The sequence below is a fragment of the Homo sapiens genome, chromosome 8 (genome assembly GCF_000001405.40).
Source record: "Homo sapiens chromosome 8, GRCh38.p14 Primary Assembly".
Classification (NCBI taxonomy): domain Eukaryota; kingdom Metazoa; phylum Chordata; class Mammalia; order Primates; family Hominidae; genus Homo; species Homo sapiens.
The window spans coordinates 140,988,181-141,009,367 of NC_000008.11; the positions used below are offsets into that span (position 1 = coordinate 140,988,181).

Here is a 21,187-nt window from a genome sequence, read left to right on the forward strand (position 1 = left end):
ATAATCCAGTTCTCCACGAATAGATGTAGACCTTCAATGTAATCCCAAACAACATCTGGAAGAATTATTTTAGAAGTTGACAAGTAATTCTAAAACATATATTGATCTGCAAAAGGTCAAGAACAGCCAAGGTACTCTTGAAGAAGAGACAAGTAGGAAGGGTTCCACAATGAGATAAGACTTATTATAAAGCTATAATAACTTAGACAGCTTAGTGCTTGTGGAATCAAAGAATCTAAAAACACAGAGTCTACAAGACACCCACATGGCTGGGCATGGTGGCTCATGCCTGTAATCCCAGCACTTTGGGAGGCCAAGGCAGGCGGATCACAAGGTCAGGAGATGGAGACCATCCTGGCTAACACAGTAAAACTCCATCTCTACTGAAAATACAAAAAAATAGCAGGGCATGGTGGTGGGCGCCCGTAGCCCCAGCTATTCGGGAGGCTGAGGCAGGAGAATGGCGTGAACCCGGGAGGCGGAGCCTGCAGTGAGCCAAGATCGTGCCACTGCACTCCAGCCTGGGTTGCAGAGCAAGACTCCATCCCAAAAAAAAAAAAAAAAAAAAAAAGACACACACGTATACGGACAAGTGATTTACAACAAAGGTGGCGCTGCAGAGAAGTAGGGAAAAAGATACTCTTTTCAATAAATGGTGTTGGGATAACTAGATGTCCACATATTAAAATGAAGTTGATTTAATCCCTTCCTTATACTATACACCAAAATCTATTCCAAGTGAATTATACAGTTAAAGATAAAATGCAAAATTATTAAACATTTAGAAAATAACAGAGGAATTACTTCACAGCCTCAGGGTGGGGAAGACAAAAAAAAGGAGGAACTATAAAGGAAAAGACTGATAAACTGGACTACATTAAACTTAACTTCTGTTTATCCAAAAAACACTTTTGAGGCTGGGCACAGCGGCTCACACTTGTAATTCCAACACTTTGGGAAGCAAAGGCGGGAGGACTGGTTGAGCTCAGGAGTTTGAGACTAGCCTGGGCAACATAGGAAGACCCTGTCTCTAAAAAAAAAAAAAAAAAAAAAAAAAAAATTTAAAATTAGCCAGCAGGGTGATACACCTGTATTCCCAGCTACTCAGGAGGCTGAGGGAGGAGGATTGCTTGAGCCCAAGAGTAGGAGGCTGCAGCGAGCTATGACTGCACCACTGCACTCCAGCCTGGGAAACAAAGCAAGACCCTATCTCAAAAAAACAAACAAACAAAAAAACTACTGAGACTCAGTGAAACCGCATGCCACAAAGCAGGAGACACTGGCAAGATATATAAACCAACAAAGGACTTGGATTCTGAATATATACAGAAGCTACAAATTAATGAATTTAAAAAAAAAAAAAGAAGACCTAATAGAAAAATACAGGCACTTGGCAAAACAGTAAATGCAAACGGCCAGCAAATTTATTTTAAAAAGTGCAACCTCGGCTGGGCACGGTGGCTCACACCTGTAATCCCAGCACTTTGGGAGGCCGAGGCGGGCGGATCACCTAAGGAGAGGAATTCGGGACCAACCTGACCAACATACAGAAACCTCATCTCTACTAAAAATACAAAATTAGCCGGGTGTGATGGTGCATGCCTGTAATCCCAGCTACTCAGGAGGTTGAGGCAGGAGAATCGCTTGAACCCAGGAGGCGGAGGTTGCGGTGAGCCGAGGTTGCACCAGTGCACTCCAGTCTGGGCAACAAGAGCAAAACTCTTTGTCTCAAAAAAAAAAAAAAAGAGCAACCTCATTATAATCAGAAAAAGAGTATTTAAAACCACAAGGCGGTACACTATATAAACCATCAAAAGGGGTGCAGAGGGGAGACAGGTTATAAGAGCAGAGAAGAGGAAACAGTGCTGAAGTAACCAGAGAAAATGGTCAATGATTGGAGCCTAACCTTTTAGTGACAAGTAACAGAAGAATCACTTATTTACTAACATTTCCTGAAAAGCTACTACAGGCCAAGCACTCTTAAAAGTACATTTAATGGTCATCGCAGAATATAACTGACTATAAGTTATAACTTTAACTCTCCTTGACCAATTTTTTTTTTTTTTTATTTTGAGACAGGGTCTCCCTCTGTCACCCAGGTTGGAGTGTAGTGGTGTGATCATGGCTCACTGTAGACTTGACCTCCCAGGCACAAGCAGTCCTCCCACCTCATCCTCCTGAATAGCTGGGACTATAGGCATGTACCACCACACCTGGCTAATTATTATTATTATATTCTTTGGGAGAGACAAGATCTCACCATGTTGACCAGGCTAGTCTCAAACTCCTGGGCTCAAGTGATCCTCCCACCCTGGCCTCCCAAAGTGCTGGGGTTACAGGCGTGAGTCAACATGCCAGGCCAACAAATTGTCTCAAGAAGAAATTGTTCCAGGTCGATTTTCCCACCATCTCATTTCTATTATTTTTGCTTTCATTGAGCTGCACAGTTGAGTGAAAGATCACAGTAGGAAATTCATGTGGAAACATCCTTCTCATTGTTTTTAGATTACATTATTTTAATTTTGTTTATCCCTACTCTTCTTCTCTATCTTGTTAACTTTCATATACTTAAATACCCTTTACAACAAAGACTATACAATAAAGTCATTTTAGTCTTTCTAATTGCCTCCCTTCAGATATTTGATCTTTCCTGAAACTCTTTACGGGGCTTTCACATATCTATATTCCTCAATTATCAACATGCTGAAAACCCAGAGAATGGACGGGAGACTCTTTTTCACTCCTTACATTATTTACTGACCACCTATAATGATATTATGATCAAGCTGTGGGGGACTCAAAGATACCTAACAGATAATACAGAATCCTCATCTCTGAGCTCACAACATTCTGTCTGCCAAGTTATGCGTCTAATTCTGCATAAGATATAACAGATTTAAGCGACATCACCAACTTCATCCTTGTGGACTGTCTAATTTTTATTTACCCTTTTCTTAGGAGAAAAGAGCAAAAGGCAAAAGAATGTATTGAATTTAGGCAATAATTCAACACCAGGAATAAAAATCAATTCACACAATACAGCTTCATTAGTTACCCCAAGACTTGGCAATCACCCTGACCCTGTTATTATATGCTAGCCAATTTTTCAGCACCAAAACAAAACCACCAGGGAGCTTGTGCCTTAAGCACCAACATGTACACACACTCTCCTGATATTTGCCAAAAGCCACAAGTCCAGGAGCCATACAAACTGCTATTTCAATGTAAAATTGTTCATTCAAATTCCAAACCAAGATTAAAAATAATTAATCAGTATTAGCATAAAACATTCAAAATCCCTAACAAAAGCAGTTTTGAGATCTTTCCAAGATTTTGAAAATCCTAAAAAACATATTTAGATTCCTGAAGTGAGGGCAATCTCCTTAGCAAATCTAAGTGGTCAAGAAGACAACATACACATACCTCAAATTAAGACTAATTTTTGCCTCCTATGACTTGCATTTCTTTCAAAACACCCTAAAGCAGTGGTTCACAAACATTAGCATGCATCAAAGCACCAAGATGGCAAGTTTAAAAACCTTGCGAGGCCAGGCATGGTGGCTCATGCCTGTAACCCCAACACTTCAGAAGGCCAAGGTGGGAGAACTGCTTGAGCCCAGGAATTCAAGACCAGCCCTGGCAACATGGTAAATACCCGTCTCTACAAAGTATGCAAAAATCAGCTAGGCGTAGTGGCATGCGCCTGTAGTCCCAGCTACTCAGGAGGATCACCTGAGGCTGGGAGGTCGAAGCCGCAGTGAGCTGTGATCGCGCACTCCAGCAAGACCCGGTCTCAAAGAAAAACAAAACAAAAAAAAATGAAACAACAGGCCAGGCACAGTGGCTCATGCCCATAATCTCAGCACTTTGGGAGGCAGAGGTGGGCAGATCACCTGAGGTCAGGAGTTTGAGACCAGCCTGGCCAACATGGTGAAACCCCGTCTCTACCAAAAATACAAAAATTGGCCGGGTGTGGTGGTGTGCGCCTGTAATCATAGCTACTCAAGAGGCTGAGGCAGGAGAATTGCTTGAACCCGAGAGGCAGAGGTTGCAGTGAGCCAAGACTGCGCCACTGCCCTCCAGCCTGGGCAACAGAGTGAGACTTCATCTCGGAAAAAAAAAAAAAAAAAAATACAAAAATTAGCTGGGCGTGGTGGCATACCCCTGTAGTCCCAGTTACTTGGGAGGCAGAAGCAGGAGAATTGCTTGAACCCTAGAGGTAGAGGTTGCAGTGAGCTGAGAAAGTGCCACTGCACTCCAGCCTGTGCCACAGAGCAAGACTCCGTCTCAAAAACAAAACAAAATAAAAAAGCTTGCTGAACACCACCCTCAGTGTTTGATTCAAGAGGCCAGAGGTAGGGCCTCAGCACTTGCATTTCTAGCAAGTTTCTAGATGATAGTGATGCTACAATTCCGTCACTACTCTGAAAACCACTGAAAGCCCCTGGAGCTTACTGGAACGTGTGCGTGAACAGTGTGAATGAGTTACCCCCTCACACTATAGCAAGACTATGGTGGAATTCACTGAGAGGCAAACTGCAAAATCTCAGGGAGAGATTCTGTACCCAAATGTTGACTTCCATTACCTGAGTGAATGTATTTTGAACTGTCACTTTCAAAATGTTTTATCTGAACAGCAGCACAGCAGCAAAAGACTCTGAACAAGGTCAAGGATGAGCGGCACAGTGCATAACTCACACTTCAACATTAAGAAGACGTTTGTTCTTTTAAATGGTTTAGGGGCATAATGTTAAACCTTTGTAAAGCATCCAATTAATCCAGTTGATTAGCAAAAGGTACATTAGAGCTTCTGGATCAGTAATAAAAACTTCCATCATTTTGTGTCACCTCAAACAATTTTCCATGTCTTCAGAACTTAGGATGAGTCCCAATCAATTCCTACAAGATTGATTTCTAGAAAAAAAGTTCCAAAATTATGAAAGAGCAGAGCAATATTTTTTTCCTGGCCCAAGTCTGATAGTAGTAATTTTAAATACAGTAGACAAAGGTGAAAAAGATAACTCCAAGTTCTTCCCTGGTATCAAGCCCTATGTGAGTCTGAGCTCAGATGATCCGCTGGCCTCTGCCTCCCAAAGTGCTGGAATTACAGGCATGCGCCACCGTGCCTGGCCCCTATGTGATTTTTAAGTGACGTTCTTTACCAGGGCAAACAAAACAGTAAACACCTGGCTGATGCAAGTAACAGTTCTCCAATAATCAATACACCTGGGTTCTTTCATTTACTCATTCAATAAATATTACTGTGTAAGACACTGGTGATTCAATAATGTATAAAACAAAGTTTATGCCCTCGTGGAGCTTACATTCTCACAAGACAACACACATTTTACTACAAAATATGTAACACATAAAACTGTTAAGCTCTTTCATTGGACCAACAAAGACAAACATATAGTGTTTTGGTCAAGAGAGACACAGACACAACAAGCACCTACAGTTCACAGCAGAATCCAAACCCAAAATGCAGGAATTTTAATAAGAATATGAGGGCAAAAAAGAGACCCTAGGCACAGATAACCCACAAACATGACTTTTTTTTCTTTTTTGAGACAGAGTCTCACTATGTCGCCCAGGCTGGAGTGCAATGGTGCAATCTCAGCTCACTGCAGCCTCGACCTCCCAGACTCAAGTGATCCTCCCACCTCAGCTTCCCAGGTAGCTGGGACTACAGGCACACGCCACCACATTCATCTAATTTTTGCATCTCTTGTAGAGACCAAGTTTTGCCATGTTGCCCAGGCTGGTCACAAACTCCTGGGCTCAAGCGATCTGTCCACCTCGGCTTCCCAAAGTGGTGGAATTACAGGTGTGAGTTACCGCACCCCACCCAAAGGTATGATTTTTGTCATTTATCTGTTTCTGAAAAAAGTGAATTTATAGTAAAGAAAATGTATATCAGTAAGATTCGGGTAGGATTTCAATTAAATAAAATTTAATTAAACATTGTAAGGAAATACTTTCATGTTCTTAAAAACATGTAAACTTTGTAGTGATGCTACTAGTGTCTCTCTGAGGCTTCCAACTGCTAAGGGGGAGGACAGTGCCACTAAGGCAAAAACAACTATTTCCTGCTTTTGTCTACAAACCATTTCATTAGAGTATTTATGCAAATCAAGCTACAATTAACAGCATTTACTAAAAAGTTTTTAAAAACTTAAGATTTGCAGCAACCCTGCATCGAGCAAGTCATCAGTGCCATTTATTCAACAGCATGTGCTCACTTTGAGTCTCTGTGCTACATTTTGGTAATTCTCACAATATTTCAAACTTTCTCATTATTATTACATCTGTTGTGGTGATCTGTGAACAGGGATCTCTTTTTATTTTTAGAGGCAGGGTCTCACTATGTTGCCCAGGCTGATCTTGAACTCCTGGCCTCAAGCAATCCTCCCAAAACAATGGATTACAGATGTGAACCACTGCACCTGGCCTATGATCAGTGGTCTTCGATGTTACTACTGTAGTTGTTTTGGGGGGACCATGACCTGTACCCACATGAGATACACATTTACTCTATAAACATGTGCATTCCCACTATTCCACTTACTGGGCCCCTGTCTCTTCTGCTCTCCTCCCTCTCCTGTGGCCTGCTATTCCCTGAGATACAAAAATACTGCAATTAGAACAATTACTAATTCTATAATGGGCCGAAGTGGGAGGATCATCTGAGGTCAGGAGTTCAAGACCAACCTGACCAACATGGAGAAACCCCATCTCTACTAAAAATACAAAATTAGCCTGGTGTGGTGGTACATGCCTGTAATCCCAGCTACTCAGGAGGTTGAGTCAGGAGAATCGCCTGAACTGGGAGGCAAAGGCTGTGGTGAGCTGAGATCTCGCCATTGCACTCCATCCTGGGCAACAAGAGTGAAACTCTGTCTCAAAAAAAAAAAAAAAAGGACGGGCACGTGGCTCACTCCTATAATCCCAGCACTTTGGGAGGCCGAGGTGGGTGGATCACAAGATAAGGAGATCAAGACCATCCTGGCCAACATGATGATGAAACCCTGTCTCAACTAAAAATACAAAAAATTAGCCAGGCATGGTGGCACGTGCCTGTAGTCCCAGCTACTCCAGAGGCTGACGCAGGCGAATCGCTTGAACCTGGGAGGCAGAGGTTGCAGTGAGCCGAGATCGCACCACTGCACTCCAGCCTGGCGACAGAGCAAGACTCCGTCTCAAAAAAAAAAAAAAAAAAGAAAAGAAACTCTATAATGGCCTCAAAGTGTTCAAGTGAAAGGAAGAGTCCCGCCTATCTCACTTTAAATCGAAAGCTAGAAATGATTACGCTTAGTGAGAAAAAACGTCAAAAACCAAGATAGGGCCGGGCACAGTGGTGATGCCTGTAATCCTAGCACTTTGGGAAAAGGTGGGCGGATTGCCTGAGCTCAGGAGTTTGAGAACAGCCTGCGGAACACGGCAAAACCCCGTCTCTACTAAAAAAACAAACAAACAAAAGTAGCTGGCCATGGTGGTGCATGCCTGTAGTCCCAGCTACTCAGGAGGCAGAAGGTTTCAGTGAGCCAACATTGCATCACTGCACTCCAGCCTGGGGCACAAAGCGAGACTCTGTCTCAAAATAAATAAATAAAATAAAATAAAATAAAAAAGATAGGCCAAAAGCGAGGCCTCCTGTGCCAAACAGCCAAGTTGTGAATGCAAAGGAAAAGTTATTGAAGGAAATTAAAAGTGCTACTTCAGTGAACACGCAAATGATAAGAAAGTAAAACAGCCTTAGCCGGGTGCAGTGGCTCACACCTGTAATCCCAGCTACTCAGTAGGCCGACACCCGAGAACCACTTCAACCCGTGAGGCGGAGGGTGCAGTCAGCCAAGATCGCGCCACTGGGTGACAGAGTGAGACTGTGTCTCTTAAAACAAAACAAAACAAAACAAAACAAAGGAAAAGAAAACAGCCTTATTGTTGATATGGAGAAAGTTTTAGTGGTCCAGATAGATCAAGCCAGCCATAACATTCCCTTGACCCAAGGCCTAACAAGGCCTAATTCAGAGAAAGCTCCTCCTCTTCAATTCTGTAAATTGATGTGAGGAAGCTACAGAAAAGCTGGAAGCTAGCAGAGGTTGGTTCGTGAGGTGGAAGGAAAAAAGCCATCTCCACAGCATAAAAGTGCAAGATGAAGCAGCAAGTGCTGGTGGAGAAGCTGCAGCAAGTTATCGAGAAGATCTAGCTAAGATCACTGATGAAGGTGGCTACACTAAACACATTTTAAATGAAGAAACCACCTTCTATTGGAAGATGCCATCTAGGACTTTCATAGCCAGAGAGATGAAGCCAATGCCTGGCTTTAAAGCTTCAAAGGATGGGCTGACTCTCGTTAGGGGCTAAGGCAGCTGGTGATCTCAAGTTGAAGCCAATGCTCGTTTCCCATTCTGAAAATCCCAGGGTCCTTAAGAACGATGCTAATTCTACTCTGCCTGTGCTCTACAAATGGAATAACAAAGCCTGGATGATAGCATATCTGTTTACAGCATGTTTTACTGAATATTTTAAGCCCACTGTTGAGATCTACTGCTCAGAAAAAGATTCCTATCAAAATATTACTGTTCATTGGCCAAGTACCTGTTGTCCAAGAGCTCTGAGAGAGATGTACAAAGAGATCAATGAGGTTTTCATGCTTGTTAACACCACATCCATTCTACAGCCCATAGATTAAGAAGACATTTTGACTTTTAAGTCTTAAATATATTTCATAAGGGTATAGCTGCCATAGATAGTGATTCCTCTGATAGATCTGGGCTAAGTACATAGAAAACATGCTGGAAAGGATTCACCATTCTAGATGCCATTAACATTCATGACACATTGGAGGAGGTGAAAATAGCATTATGAACAGGAGTTTGGAAGAACTTGCTTCCAACCGTCATGGATAACTCTGAGGGATTCACGACTTCAGTAGAGAAAGTAAATGCAGATATGGTAGAAATAGCAAGAGAACTAGAATTAGAAGTGGAACCTGATGATGTGACTGAATTGCTGCAATCTCATGATAAAACTTGAACGGATAAGGAGTTCCTTCTTAGGGATGAGCAAAGAAAGTGGTTTCCTGAAATGGAATCTACCCCTGGTGAAGATGCTGTGAACATTGTTGAAATGACAACAAAGGATCTAGAATATTGCATACACTGATTGATAAAGCAATGGCAGTGTTTAGGAGTATTGAGTCCAATTTTGAAAGAAGTTCTACTGTGGATAAAATGCTTTCAAATAGCATCACATACTCTGGAGAAATCTTTAATGAAAGAACGAGCCAACTGATGTGGCAAACCTAATTGTTGTCTTATTTTAAGAAACTGCCTGACATCTCAGCCTTCAGCAACCACCACCCTGATTTGTCAGCAGCCATCACCACTGAGGGAAGACCATCCACCAGCAAAAAGATTATGACTTGCTGAAGGCTCAGATGATCAACAGTATTTGACTACGTCATGTACATTAGCTGGGCACAGTGACTCATGCCTGTAATCCCAGCACTTTGGGAGGCCAAGGTGGGAGGATCACTTGAGCCCAGGAGTTCACGACCAACTTGTGCAACATAGGGAGACCCCATCTCTACGAAAAATGTAAAAATTAGCTGGGAGTAGTGGTATGCACGTATAGTGCCAGCTACTCAGGAGGCTGAGGTGGGAGGATCACTTGAGCCCAGGAGGACCAGGTTGCAGTGAGCTATGATTGCACCACTGCACTCCAGCCTGGGTGACAGAACAAGACCTTGTCTCAAAAAAAAGAAATGTACATTGCTTTTTTAGACATGTTACTGCACACTTACTATAGTGTAAACCTAACTTTTATATGCACTGGGAAACCAATTTGTGTGACTCATTTTATCGCAGTGGTCTAGAAACAGACCAAGATATGCCTATACTACAGGAACTAAACTTCTCAGATGTTTTTCACCAGCAAAAAAGAAAAATTCACTTCAAATATGATACAAACAGTATAACTTTTAATGTTACTGAAATTTAAAACAAGAATTGATCTAGGTCTAAATCTACATCAGTTTAGAATGCCTAAACTGAAAATGTTAAATTTCAAAACTGAAACTTTATAAACACTTTGAAATGCATCTTTTGTAACTCAAGATAATTTTAATTATTTTCTAAAAATTAAGACATCATAAAATACAAGGGGAAAAAGGTTTCCATAACCTTTAGAGATATGAACTAAGATCCTACCTCTCTAACTCAAATCAACATTCAGGAAAGGACAGTTTTCAAAATTATTTTTTACATTATAGAATACAATATAAATAATTTCATCTACAGGACCTAATCTTTTTTTTTTAAAGAGGCTACCTTTAAAACAACAGGATCTTCAGGCCAGGCGCAGTGGCTCACGCCTGTAATCCCAGCACTTTGGGAGGCCAAGGTGGGCGGATCATGAGGTCAGGAGATCGAGACCACCCTGGCTAACACGGCGAAACCCCGTCTCTACTAAAAAATACAAAAAATTAGCCGGGCGTGGTGGCGGGCGCCTGTAGTCCCAGCTACTTGGGAGGCTGAAGCAGGAGAATGGCATGAACCCGGGCAGTGGAGCTTGCAGTGAGCCGAGATCGCACCACTGCACTCCAGCCTGGGCCACAGGGTGAGACTCCGTCTCAAAAAAAAAAAAAAAAAAACTATTTTCTTAGACAATTTCTCCAACTCCCTAGAAAGAACAGTTATCTGACTAGCTGGAGAACATGATTTTGAGGACTGAGGGAGTAAGTTATGTAATTTCCATCAAGAAGCATGGTGCTTTTCAGAAAACATTTTAGTATAAAACGTTTTAATGATCCTCACTGCCTCCTCACAATTTCACTGCTGGATTCATGGAACTTCACTCCTAATCTAACATTATTCACTTTCAATGGGCTTCCAGCCTCAAATAATAAGGCTTTTTAAGTCCCATCTCCTCTCAGAGTTTGCCCCAGTATTCTTTGCCCCAAACCGTAAACATGGAGTTTTGATTTCCATGTCTTTATTTAACCAATGACTTGCTTCTTGATGCATCACCACTGAATGATGTATGGGTCCTTCTAATCAGCGTCTACACTGAAGTCTTAGGTGATTGTCGGCTCCCTTATAAAGGAAGCATGTGTTTTAAATAATCTGTGCCTGTGTTCATTATTAAACTAGATTATTTGATAGTGACCTGAAATTCTTTAAAGGAAAACCTTGTAATATTGATCTTGTTGTTTCTGCAGTTTAATAAACAAGAAGGTTCAAAATGATGGTAGGTTCAGCCTGTTTTTCCCCACCAAGGATAACCACAAATACAAAACACAAAGATATTGGGACACAAACATCCTTAAAATGTTCCTTGTTTGAATATCATAGGGCTTTTCTAATTAATTGGCTAGTATAACTGGATGAAAATATTATCTATACTGTACCCCAACAAAAATACGTTGAATGCTAGTTTACTTTTATGTGTCTTGTAACTAGTTCATCCGTGTGCTTGCATCGCACTGCTCATAAGTTTTCAAATATGGGACGGAGTGCTCAACTCTCGAAGACATCATTTTCATTACCCGTTTCCCAAATAAAATATTAAGGTTGAGGCTCTGGTATTTCATTTCAAATAGTACTGGTCTGTTTTTCCAGCCATGAAAACGTTTACATTCTAAGTAAAAATCCTAGCGATGGTTAAGTCTTAAATACAAATCCCCAAACTCTTGCACTGCCTTCAGCTTTCAGCTTGAATGTATAACCAGTTCCCATAATTACTACAATATTACTATTATCTTAGTCTCATTGCCAAAAACCCAGCTGCAGGCTAACTATGCAAGAATGAGACACTGTTGAAATGACTCGGAAAAAAAAAAAAAAAGAAACTTTACCCTCACTGAATTTAGCTACAAAATTCTGCAATTAAATGAAACCAATTCACACACACACACACACACACACACACACACACACACACCCCTTCTTCTAAGAAAGAACAGGATGCCGCTACACAAGGAACCCAGAGAGAAATTCGGCAAACAGTTGCGCCTAAGCCACCGCGGCAGAGTCGGGGGCTGGGGGCGGGGAAGAGGAGAAAACTTGGGAAGCACAATGACTCCAGTGAGGACTTCAGTGAGGGCTCCAGGGCTCCCGCCAAGAAGCCCACGGGGCTCTACCAAACTTGAGGGTTTGCGTTCGGGGACACGGCGGGCTTGGGGCTCGGGCACCGGCAGGCCGCTCGGAGCCCACCCTTGGCTGCCCGCGAGGCCGCGCCCGGGGGACGGAGGTCGGGCCGTCGCGAGCCTCCCTCTCGCGTCCGGGCGAACCCTGCCGACGTCCCTGCGATTTCCCTCTTCCTCCTCCTGCCTCTCCCCTTTTGTTTTTCAGGCATTGGGTCCGCTCCGGCGGAGGCCGGCCCGTCCTCCCCGCGCCTCTGTCCGCCCTGCGCGCCCCCAGAGCCCCGGCCTCCTCGTCTTCCTCAGGCCCCTCGGCCTCTCCGCGCGCCCGGCCTTTTCGAAAGCCGCCCCCCCCTTCCTCCTCACGTCTCCCGGACTCCCCACGTCCCCCAGCCTTTCTGTCTTCCCCGAACCCCTTGGCCTCCCCGCGCGCCCCCAAAACCCCCGACCTCCTCGAGCTCCCGGCCTCCCCACGTCCCTCAGCCTCCCAGTCTTCCCCAAGCCTCCCGACCACCCAGCGCCCCGAACCCCCGCCTCCCAGCGCGCCCCCTGACCTCCTTAAGCCTCTCGGCCTCCGCGAGGGCCCCCAACCTCCTCACGGCCACCGGCCTCCCCTCCTCCCAGAACCCGGGCCGGGGGCGCGGGAGGGGCCGGTCTCCGCCGCATCCGCCCCGGGACTGGTTGGGCGGCCCCGCTCTGCCCCTCCGCCCTCAGGGCCGCGGCCCAGCCCACGACCGCTGCACAGAAGGAGCCCGCCCAGCCCCCGACCCGCGCCCCGCGCCCGGCGCCCCGCACTCACTCGGACCGCGGCTCGGCGCCGTGAAGCGAAGGCAGACGACGACGGGGCGGCGCTGGGCGACAGCAGCCGCGCTTCCTCCCACGCCTCACGCCGCGGGCTCACAGTGGTCCGGGACCGGCGGCGGCGGCGGCGGCGCGGGCTCGCGCCCTCGAGGCCGTGCTGCGTCGGCGCGGGCCCGCGCGCGTGCGCGGCAGCCGGCTGAGGCGCGCGTCCTCTCTCGGCAGCGCACGCCCGACCCGGTCTCAGTCCGGAGTTCCCGCCTCTCGGGGGGACTGGGCATGCGCGCCGCCCCCGCGCATGCCCAGCGCGCCGCTAGGCTCTGCTCGCGTAATTTGTCCTGTAGTGACCGCGCCGGGGTTTCGGGGTGGCCCGAGGCTGCGCGCGGGCGTGGCGGCCGGACGAGGAAAGCCCTGGTCTCGGGGGTGGCCGGGGTCGCCCCGCCGAGCGGACATCCTGGGGTCCCACCTGCCTCGCTCTCCGCCAGCGGGATTAGACGGACTTCGGGAAAGTCCTCCCCATCTCCTTCCCTGCCCCCAAATCCCGAAGGGGTCCCCTCTGGAGAACCTCCCTCCTGAGCGGCCCTGCGGCCCCGCCCCCAGAGTTGGACGCCCGCTGTCGGGCACCCGCTGCGGGCCCCGGGCCTTGCAGTGCACTCTCCAGGCACCACACCGACCCTAACGAGCGGTTCCTGGGCCCTTTTTGCAGACAAGGAAACTGAGGCTCAGAGATTCTTTTCATGGCATTATAGCTAAGTTGGGCTGGGCCATTATTTGATTTTGGAAGATGAAAAATCATGAAAGGGACTTAGAAGTCCACTGGAGGTAGACAGGTTACCTAAATGAACGCCAGCAGGGAACGAGCCCTGCAATCCCTCCCGAGGGCTACAGACCTGAGACGGGCTCCAGGAAAAGGAGGGAAGGCTCGCCCCGACACCGACCCGGGCTTCCGCGGTGTGAGCCAGTTTCAGCGAGGAGCTAGTTGGTTATGACCGGAACGTGCCGTAGGTGGGGTGGGGGAAATAGCAAAAGGCGAGGTTGGAGGGATTGAAAAATGCAGACGGCTGCGTGGGGCTTGCTTAGGTGCCTGGAGTTTATTCTTTAGGCAACAGGGAACCTTTGGAGGGCTTTAAGCAGGAAGTGATAACTGATTTGTGTTATTTAAAAAAAAAAAAAAGTCACTCTGGCAACCTTGTGGTCGGAAATGAAACCAGAAGAACCCTCAAGGCTGCAACTTTCATTTTTATGGTGTCATTTTGATGCTAACCACAAGCCAGGAAGCAGGACAGACAGGCACCGAGGCCTTTTGAAAGGTGAACACCCTGAAGCCCAGAGAGGTGACACACGTCATTGCATTAGGAGCTTTTATAAAAGTAAAAATGAAGTAAAATAAAAAGCTTTTGCTTATCAAGATTTTACCATATTTAAATGTTTGGGTTGTATTGTTCTTTAATGAGATGTATTAAGGTTGGTGTTTTTCTGGGTTTTGTTACTTTTTACTACATATGAAATTGTAAGGAATTGCCTCTCCATGCCAGCCTCAGGCCTTTGCGCGTGCTATTTGCTCTGCCTGGAACTTCTTGCTCCTCACTTCGTTCAATACCCTGCTTATATATCACCTCATTGATACAGCCGACCACTTCATATAATAGGAACCACCCACTGCCCTGCTATCCTCACACACAGTCCGCACTTAGTCTGCTCTGTTGTTCTCCAAAGCACCTATTGTTCACCATAGCCCAACACTGTGTTCTTGTTTATTTCTTGATTGTCCGCTCTCTCCACTAGAATCTTAGATTCATTAGAGCACGGGCTTTGTTTTGTTCACTAATAGGTCCTGGCACACAGTAAGTATTTGTCAAGTGAATGAACGAAGCTTTGGGTGATGTGAAGTGAGAGCTTATTATTAAAAGGATAAGAAAAGCATGGGAATTAAAAGAGGAGAGTGGAGGCACAAAGGGACTGCATTAAGGATAACTTTGGGGGAAGGGGCTGCACTTAGCATAGTAGACTAAAAATGGCCATCAATTCTTTGACACTTTTCCCAAGAAGAGGTGGAATTTATTCACCCCTTGAATGTGGATGGGATCTTGTAACTTGCTTTGACCAATGGGATGTGTCACAAGTGACATTGTACAAATTCCAAGCCTAGGCCTCAAGAGGCCATGCTGCTTTCATTTTCCCCCCTTAAGCCCAAGCTAGCCTCACGAGGAGGCCGTGTGGAAGAGAACTGAGGCACCCTGGCCAACAAGGTGCCACCTCCAGACATGTGAGTGAGCTGTACTAGACCACCCAGCCCCTGTGAAGCATACATAAGACCTGGAGAGACTGATGGAAGAACTGCCCAGCTGAATCCAACCCAAATTGCCAAACCACAGAATTGTGAGCCAATAAAATACATGTGGTTTTAAGCCTTTAGGTTTTAGGGTAGTGTGTTACACAATATTGTTTCCTGGACTCTGCCACGATACATTTGAAATTGACGTTCTTGAAGGGCAGCTTTGGTTATTATTATGCTTAGTAAAAGAAGAAATCAGAAAACGGCGGGAAGAAGTGATGCAAAGGAGAAGGGCAAACAGAGATACAAACGGGAAAAGGGACAAACCTAGGAAACAGTGGCTTGTCTTACCTCTTGGGCACACTTTGTGGTGCCTGAGAACTCAGGTTTAGGAGTAAGATGAACATTGGCACAGACCCAGGCTTAAGTTTAACCATTCACCAATAAACCTGTGAAGGTTGTATAATGTCTCTGAGCCTCAATTTCTCATCTGTGAAATGGAGGCTCTAAAGGATGTACATTAGAATTAGGCTGTAGAGAGGCCGGGCACGGTGGCTCACACCTGTAATCCCAGCACTGTGGGAGGCCAAGGCGGGTGGATCATGAGGTCAGGAGATTGAGACCATCCTGGCTAACAAGGTGAAACCCCGTCTCTACTAAAAATACAAAAAAATTAGCCAGCGTGGTGGCGGGCGCCTGTAGTCCCGGCTATTCGGGAGGCTGAGGCAGGAGAACGGCGTGAACCCGGGAGGCAGAGCTTGCAGTGGGTGGAGATGGCGCCACTGCACTCCAGCCTGGGTGACAGAGCAAGACTCCATCTCAAAAAAAAAAATTAGGTTGTAGAGGAAACAAACCATTCTCATAAAACAGCAGGGTGCTTAGCATATATAAGTGTTATTGATCGACTATAGCATTGCTTTATCGATTACTAATAATTTGCATGATGATGGAGGGGTATGCAAAGGACCACCAGAGCACAGAGTCAAGGAAGGCTGACTTCTCTCAGTCTCTGTGGGTCAGAACCTGAATACGCTGTCTCCAGACCTCATAGCAACCCTGTGATGTAGACGCTATTATCGGCACCTCCATTTTATAAATTTGAAAACTACTGCTCAGACAGCTGGGCGCAGTGTCTCACGCCTATAATCCCAGCACTTTGGGAGGCCGAGGCGGGCGGATCACTTGAGGTCAGGAGATCGATACCAGCCTGGCCAACCACAGTGAAACCCTGTCTCTACTAAAAATACAAAAATTAGCCGGGTGTGCTGGCACGTGCCTGTAATCCCAGCTACTTGGGAGGCTGAGGCAGGAGAATTGCTCGAACCCAGGAGGCGGAGGTTACAGTGAGCTGAGGTTGGGCCATTGCACTCCAGCCTGGGTGAAGAAGCAAGACTCCATCTCAAAAAAAAAAAAAAAAAAAAAAAGGAAAAGAAAACTACTGCTCAGAAAAAAAAAAAAAAAAAAGAAGAAGTAGCAGCAGCAATGAGTCAGATAGCAGGGCTGGAATTCAAGGCTGCATCTGTCCAACTGCAAAGCCTGTGCTCCTTCCTCTCCCCAGCGCAGTCTCTGATGCACTCATATCCCATACAAAAAAAAAAAAAAAAACCAAACAGAGAACACAATTTGGCTTCTCCCCTTCCTGCACTGCACCAGATGGGGTGAGCGCTGACCTTGCGTGGGAAGCTTTCAGGAAGAGCTTCCTGTGTGTTGGCAGAGCAGCTGCAGTGAGCCTGGGAGCAGTTCCCCCTTGAAAAGCCCCCCACCTCCCTGGTCGGCTAAGGGCTCCCTCCCAGGAGGGGCTCACTCACGCTGGAGAAGCAGAAACACACATTAAGGCCAGGGGTGGATGCACAGTCATGGGGGCGTGGAAGCTGATATCACTGAAGAGACACTGAAGCCCAGGTTCCTGCCCACATCACAGCTGACCACCCTGCAGATCTGTCTGGAGAAGCTGGGATGAGAGAAAGTGAGACCCAGGGGACAGGTGCCTGGGGTAATTTTTGATCCAGTAAGATGTGCTTCTGGGAGCTATGGGCCTCTTACATCGCCAGGGCATGCTGGGCCTCAAGAATATGGAGAGTGGCGGAATGGAGAAAGGGTCTGACAGACCTGGCCTCCAATCCCAGCTCCCCACGTGACAACCCCATGGCTCCAAGCAGGCTGCTCAACCTCCCAGAGTCTCAGTTTCCTCCTCTGTAAAGTGGAAGAGCAGAAGTCAGGGGCAGGGGATGCCCCTAGGGAAGACATCCAGAAGGAAAGCAGGGGTAGAGGAGGGGGCTGAAGACAGATTCTCACCTCCAAATTCTGTCCCGTATAAAGTCAAATGGGCCCTTGCCCTCTGCCGAGGCCACAGAGTCACCACTTACAGCTTGCCCAGGAGTGAGCAAAACAAATCCGTGGTCACGATTCAGGAACATTCTGGGCTCACAAGATAATTAGGCTATGGAGGTTTTTTGTTTTTTGTTTTTTGTTTTTTGTTTTTTTTTTTTTTGAGACTGAGTCTCATTCTATTGCCCAGGCTGGTATGCAGTGGCACAATCTCAGCTCACTGCAATCTCCGCCTCCTGGGTTCAAGCGATTCTCATGCCTCAGCCTCTCAAGTAGCTGGGATTACATGTGCCCGCCACCACGCCCGGCTAATTTTTGTAGTTTTAGTAGAGATAGGGTTTCACTATGTTGGCCAGGCTGGTCTTGAACTCCTGACCTCAAATAATCCTCCCGCCTCAGCCTCCCAAAGTGCTGGGATTAGAGGCGTGAGCCACCACGCCTGGCCTCTATGCAGGTTTTACTACAAGTTGAAATTTCACTTTCCATAGACACGTAATGTAGGAATGCAGAGATAGGGGGAAGAGGGCTCCCGCAGTGGGTGCCCATCTCCTGTGAGGAAGTGGGAACAACTCTTCCTAGGTTGGGGAGCATCCCAGCCCCTCCTGCTCACATAGATCTCCCCCACTTTACCCCACCAGGGTGTTCCAGGGCTCTGTGGCACAAGAGGCAGTAACAGGGCCTCTTCTAGGTCTCACCCATACTCAGTGCCCACAAGTTCCCCCGAGTGGAAGTGAGCAAGCCCTGTCTGGAGGCTGAGCTGCCTAGAGCAGGACCTCACCGTGGGGATCTGTCCCAGGGATACTGCTCCCTGGCCTGGGCCTGAAGCCCACTCCCACCCCCACATCCCCTCCTTCAAAATACTGTGTGTGAAGGAAAATCCTCCCCTCCACAAGGCTCAGCAGGTCTAGGCCAGGGACAATCCCCCACCCTCCTGACCTGAGATACACCTTTGTTCTGGATCTGGTAGCAAAGGCTCCAGTCACAGTTCATCCAGAGCTAACGAGTACTCTGTACCTGCTACTGTCCCTACAACAGCCTTTAGAGGGAAAAAGTGTTCACATTTTCTGGGGAATTCTGCCCCAAATCATTCATTATCTCCTTTACTTTTCACAACTGCCTTAGATAAGTATTACTAAGCATGTTTTACAGATGGGTAAATTGAGTCCACAAGGTGATGGCTATCCAGCTCCAGTCTACCCAGCAAGTAAGGGGCAGAGTCAGGATTCAAACCCAGCTTGTCTGGCTCTGAAACGGTGCTCACAGCACCACAGCACCTGCTGGAACAGGCTTGTGTCTTCGTGCCTGCCCTGAGGGCTACTAGGAAGAGAGTCTAGGTGAGGCCCACAGGGCTTCTCCCTGCCATAAATTCTTCACTTTATAAAGACCATGAAGTTGCAGGGATGCCATCAAACCGATTCCAGTCATGGAACTGATAAAATTCCCTTTCTTTTTCTTTTTTTTTTTTGAGACAGAGTCTCGCTCTGTTGCCCAGGCTGGAGTGCAGGGGCGCAATTTTGGCCTATTGCAACCTCTGCCTCCCGGGTTCAAGTGATTCTCATGCCTCCTCAGCCTCCCAAGTAGCTGGGATTACAGGCATGCACGACCATGCCCAGCTAATTTTTGTACTATTTTAGTAGAGATGGGGTCTCATCATGTTGTCCAGGCTGGTCTCTAACTCCTGACTTAAGGTGATCTGCCCGCCTCTGCCTCCCAAAGTGCTAGGATTACAGGTGTGAGCCACCATGCCCAGCCTAAAATTCCCTTTCTTGATCTTTTTTATTGTTTTGGTTAGTATTAACTCCTCATTAAAGAAATGTCCTCTTTGCAAATCTTGCAAATTGTGTTGGAATTATGTTCAACAGAAGGCTTCCATTGTTTCCAGTTTGTAAAATTTAAACAGACTGCCACTCAGAAGAGTTCCCATTTCTTTCTTCTTCTCAGCTTTGTTTTTTGTTTGTTTGTTTTTTCTGAGCTCCATTTTTGTATTTTCGGGGTTGTTTGTTTGTTTGTTTTGGAGATGGGATCTCGCTCTGTCATCCAGGCTGGAGTGCAGTGGCACAATCTCAGCTCACTGCAACCTCTGCCTCCTGGGCTCAAGTGATCCTCCCACCTCAGCCTCCCGAGTAGCTGGGGCTGCAGGTGTGTGTTTGTATCTTTTGTAGAGATGGGGTTTTGCCATGTTGTCCAGGCTAGTCTCGAACTCTTGAGCGCAAGCCATCGTCTCACCTCGGCCTCTCCAGGTGGTGGGATTACAGGTGTGAGCCACCAGACCCCACCTAACTTGTACTAATTCTCAATGATCTAAAGCAATGCTTCTCAAACTGTCTGTAGTGTGGAGCAGTTCTTTCTTTTCATGTTGTGTGGACTCATACTCTTGTAAAATGTAATTAAAAATTAGAAATGAAGAATTAAAAAAGTAAATACTGGCCAGGTGCAGTGGCTCATGCCTGTAATCCCAGCACTTTGGGAGGCCAAGGTGGGTGTATCACCTGAGGTCAGGAGTTCGAGACAAGCCTGGACAATATGGCGAAATTCCATCTCTACCAAAAATACAAAAATTAGCTGGGCGTGGTGGCATGCACCTGTAGTCCCAGCTACTCAGGAGGCTGAGGCAGGAGAATCACTTGAACCCAGAAGGCAGAGGTTGCAGTGAGCCAGGATCACGCCACTGCACTCCAGCCTGGGCGACAGAGAGAGACCCTGTCTCAGAGAAATAAATAAATAAATAGTAAAGACATACTAAACACAAGCCTAAATTTTTTTTTTTTTTTGAGACAGGGTCTCGCCCTGTTTCCCAGGCTGCAATGCAATGGTATGATCATGGCTCACTGCAGCCTTGACCTCCTGGGCTCAAGCAATCCTCTTGCCCTGGCCTCCTGATTAGCTGGGACACCAGCATGTGCCACCACACTCAGCCAATTTTTTTTCTGTTTTTTGTAGAGATGGAGTCTTGCTCTGTTGCCCAGGCTAGTCTCAAACTCCTGGGCTCAAGTGATCCTCCCACTTCGGCCTCCCAAAGTACTGGAATTTCAGGCATGAGCCAATTTTTGTTATTAGATTCAAAACAACTCTGTCAAATTGCTTTGAAAGTTTCTAAAACTCTTAATCTCTGTACTTCTCCCGCTGTGAGTTGATAACAGTGTGCAGAGCAGCTGTAGTTCCATGCAACAAACTGTGGGCAGCATTAATTCAAAAGATTAACAAGGCCGGGGGCTGTGGCTCATGCCTGGAATCCCAGCACTTTGGGAGGCCAAGGCAGGCAGATCACCTGAAGTTGGGAGTTCGAGACCAGTCTGACCAATATGGAGAAACCCCATCTCTAGTAAAAATACAAAATTAGCCAGGCGGGCATGTTGGCACATGCCTGTAATCCCAGCTACTTGGGAGGCTGAGTCAGGAGAATCATTTGAATCCGGGAGGCGGAGGTTGTGGTGAGCCGAGATCGCACCATTGCACTCCAGCCTGGGCAACAAGAGGGAAACTCCATCTCAAAAAATAATAAAAAATAAATAAATGAAAGATTAACAAAAGACTTGGGCCAGGTGCAGTGGCTCACGCCTGTAATCTTCAGCGCTTTGGGAGGTCGAGGAGGGCGGATCGATTGAGCTCAGGAGTTCCAGACCAGTCTGGGCAACATGGCA

At 46.5% G+C, this 21,187-nt stretch overlaps 1 protein-coding gene across 174 annotated transcripts in view, besides 2 other annotated features; it reads right to left on the bottom strand.

The window, feature by feature from the left end:
• PTK2 (protein tyrosine kinase 2) overlaps positions 1-13,899 on the bottom strand; it is a 344,180-nt gene extending 330,281 nt beyond the window's left edge. For 155 of the 174 annotated variants that reach the window (NR_148039.2, NR_148038.2, NR_148036.2 and 152 more), the window contains exon 1: positions 12,945-13,102. The gene's annotated coding sequence lies outside the window, so the exon portion shown is untranslated. Of the gene's footprint in view, positions 1-12,699; positions 12,825-12,944; positions 13,103-13,833 lie in introns of those variants that run through there. The other 19 variants (XM_047422053.1, NM_001352710.2, NM_001387652.1 and 16 more) reach the window with 2 other exon arrangements.
• Positions 12,767-13,096: a silencer, noted in NCBI's record as "silent region_19585". NCBI's record gives its function as "represses an Ori minimal core promoter by ATAC-STARR-seq in GM12878 lymphoblastoid cells {active_cell/tissue: GM12878}" and the evidence as "EXISTENCE:reporter gene assay evidence [ECO:0000049][PMID:35858748]".
• Positions 13,117-13,536: a silencer, noted in NCBI's record as "silent region_19586". NCBI's record gives its function as "represses an Ori minimal core promoter by ATAC-STARR-seq in GM12878 lymphoblastoid cells {active_cell/tissue: GM12878}" and the evidence as "EXISTENCE:reporter gene assay evidence [ECO:0000049][PMID:35858748]".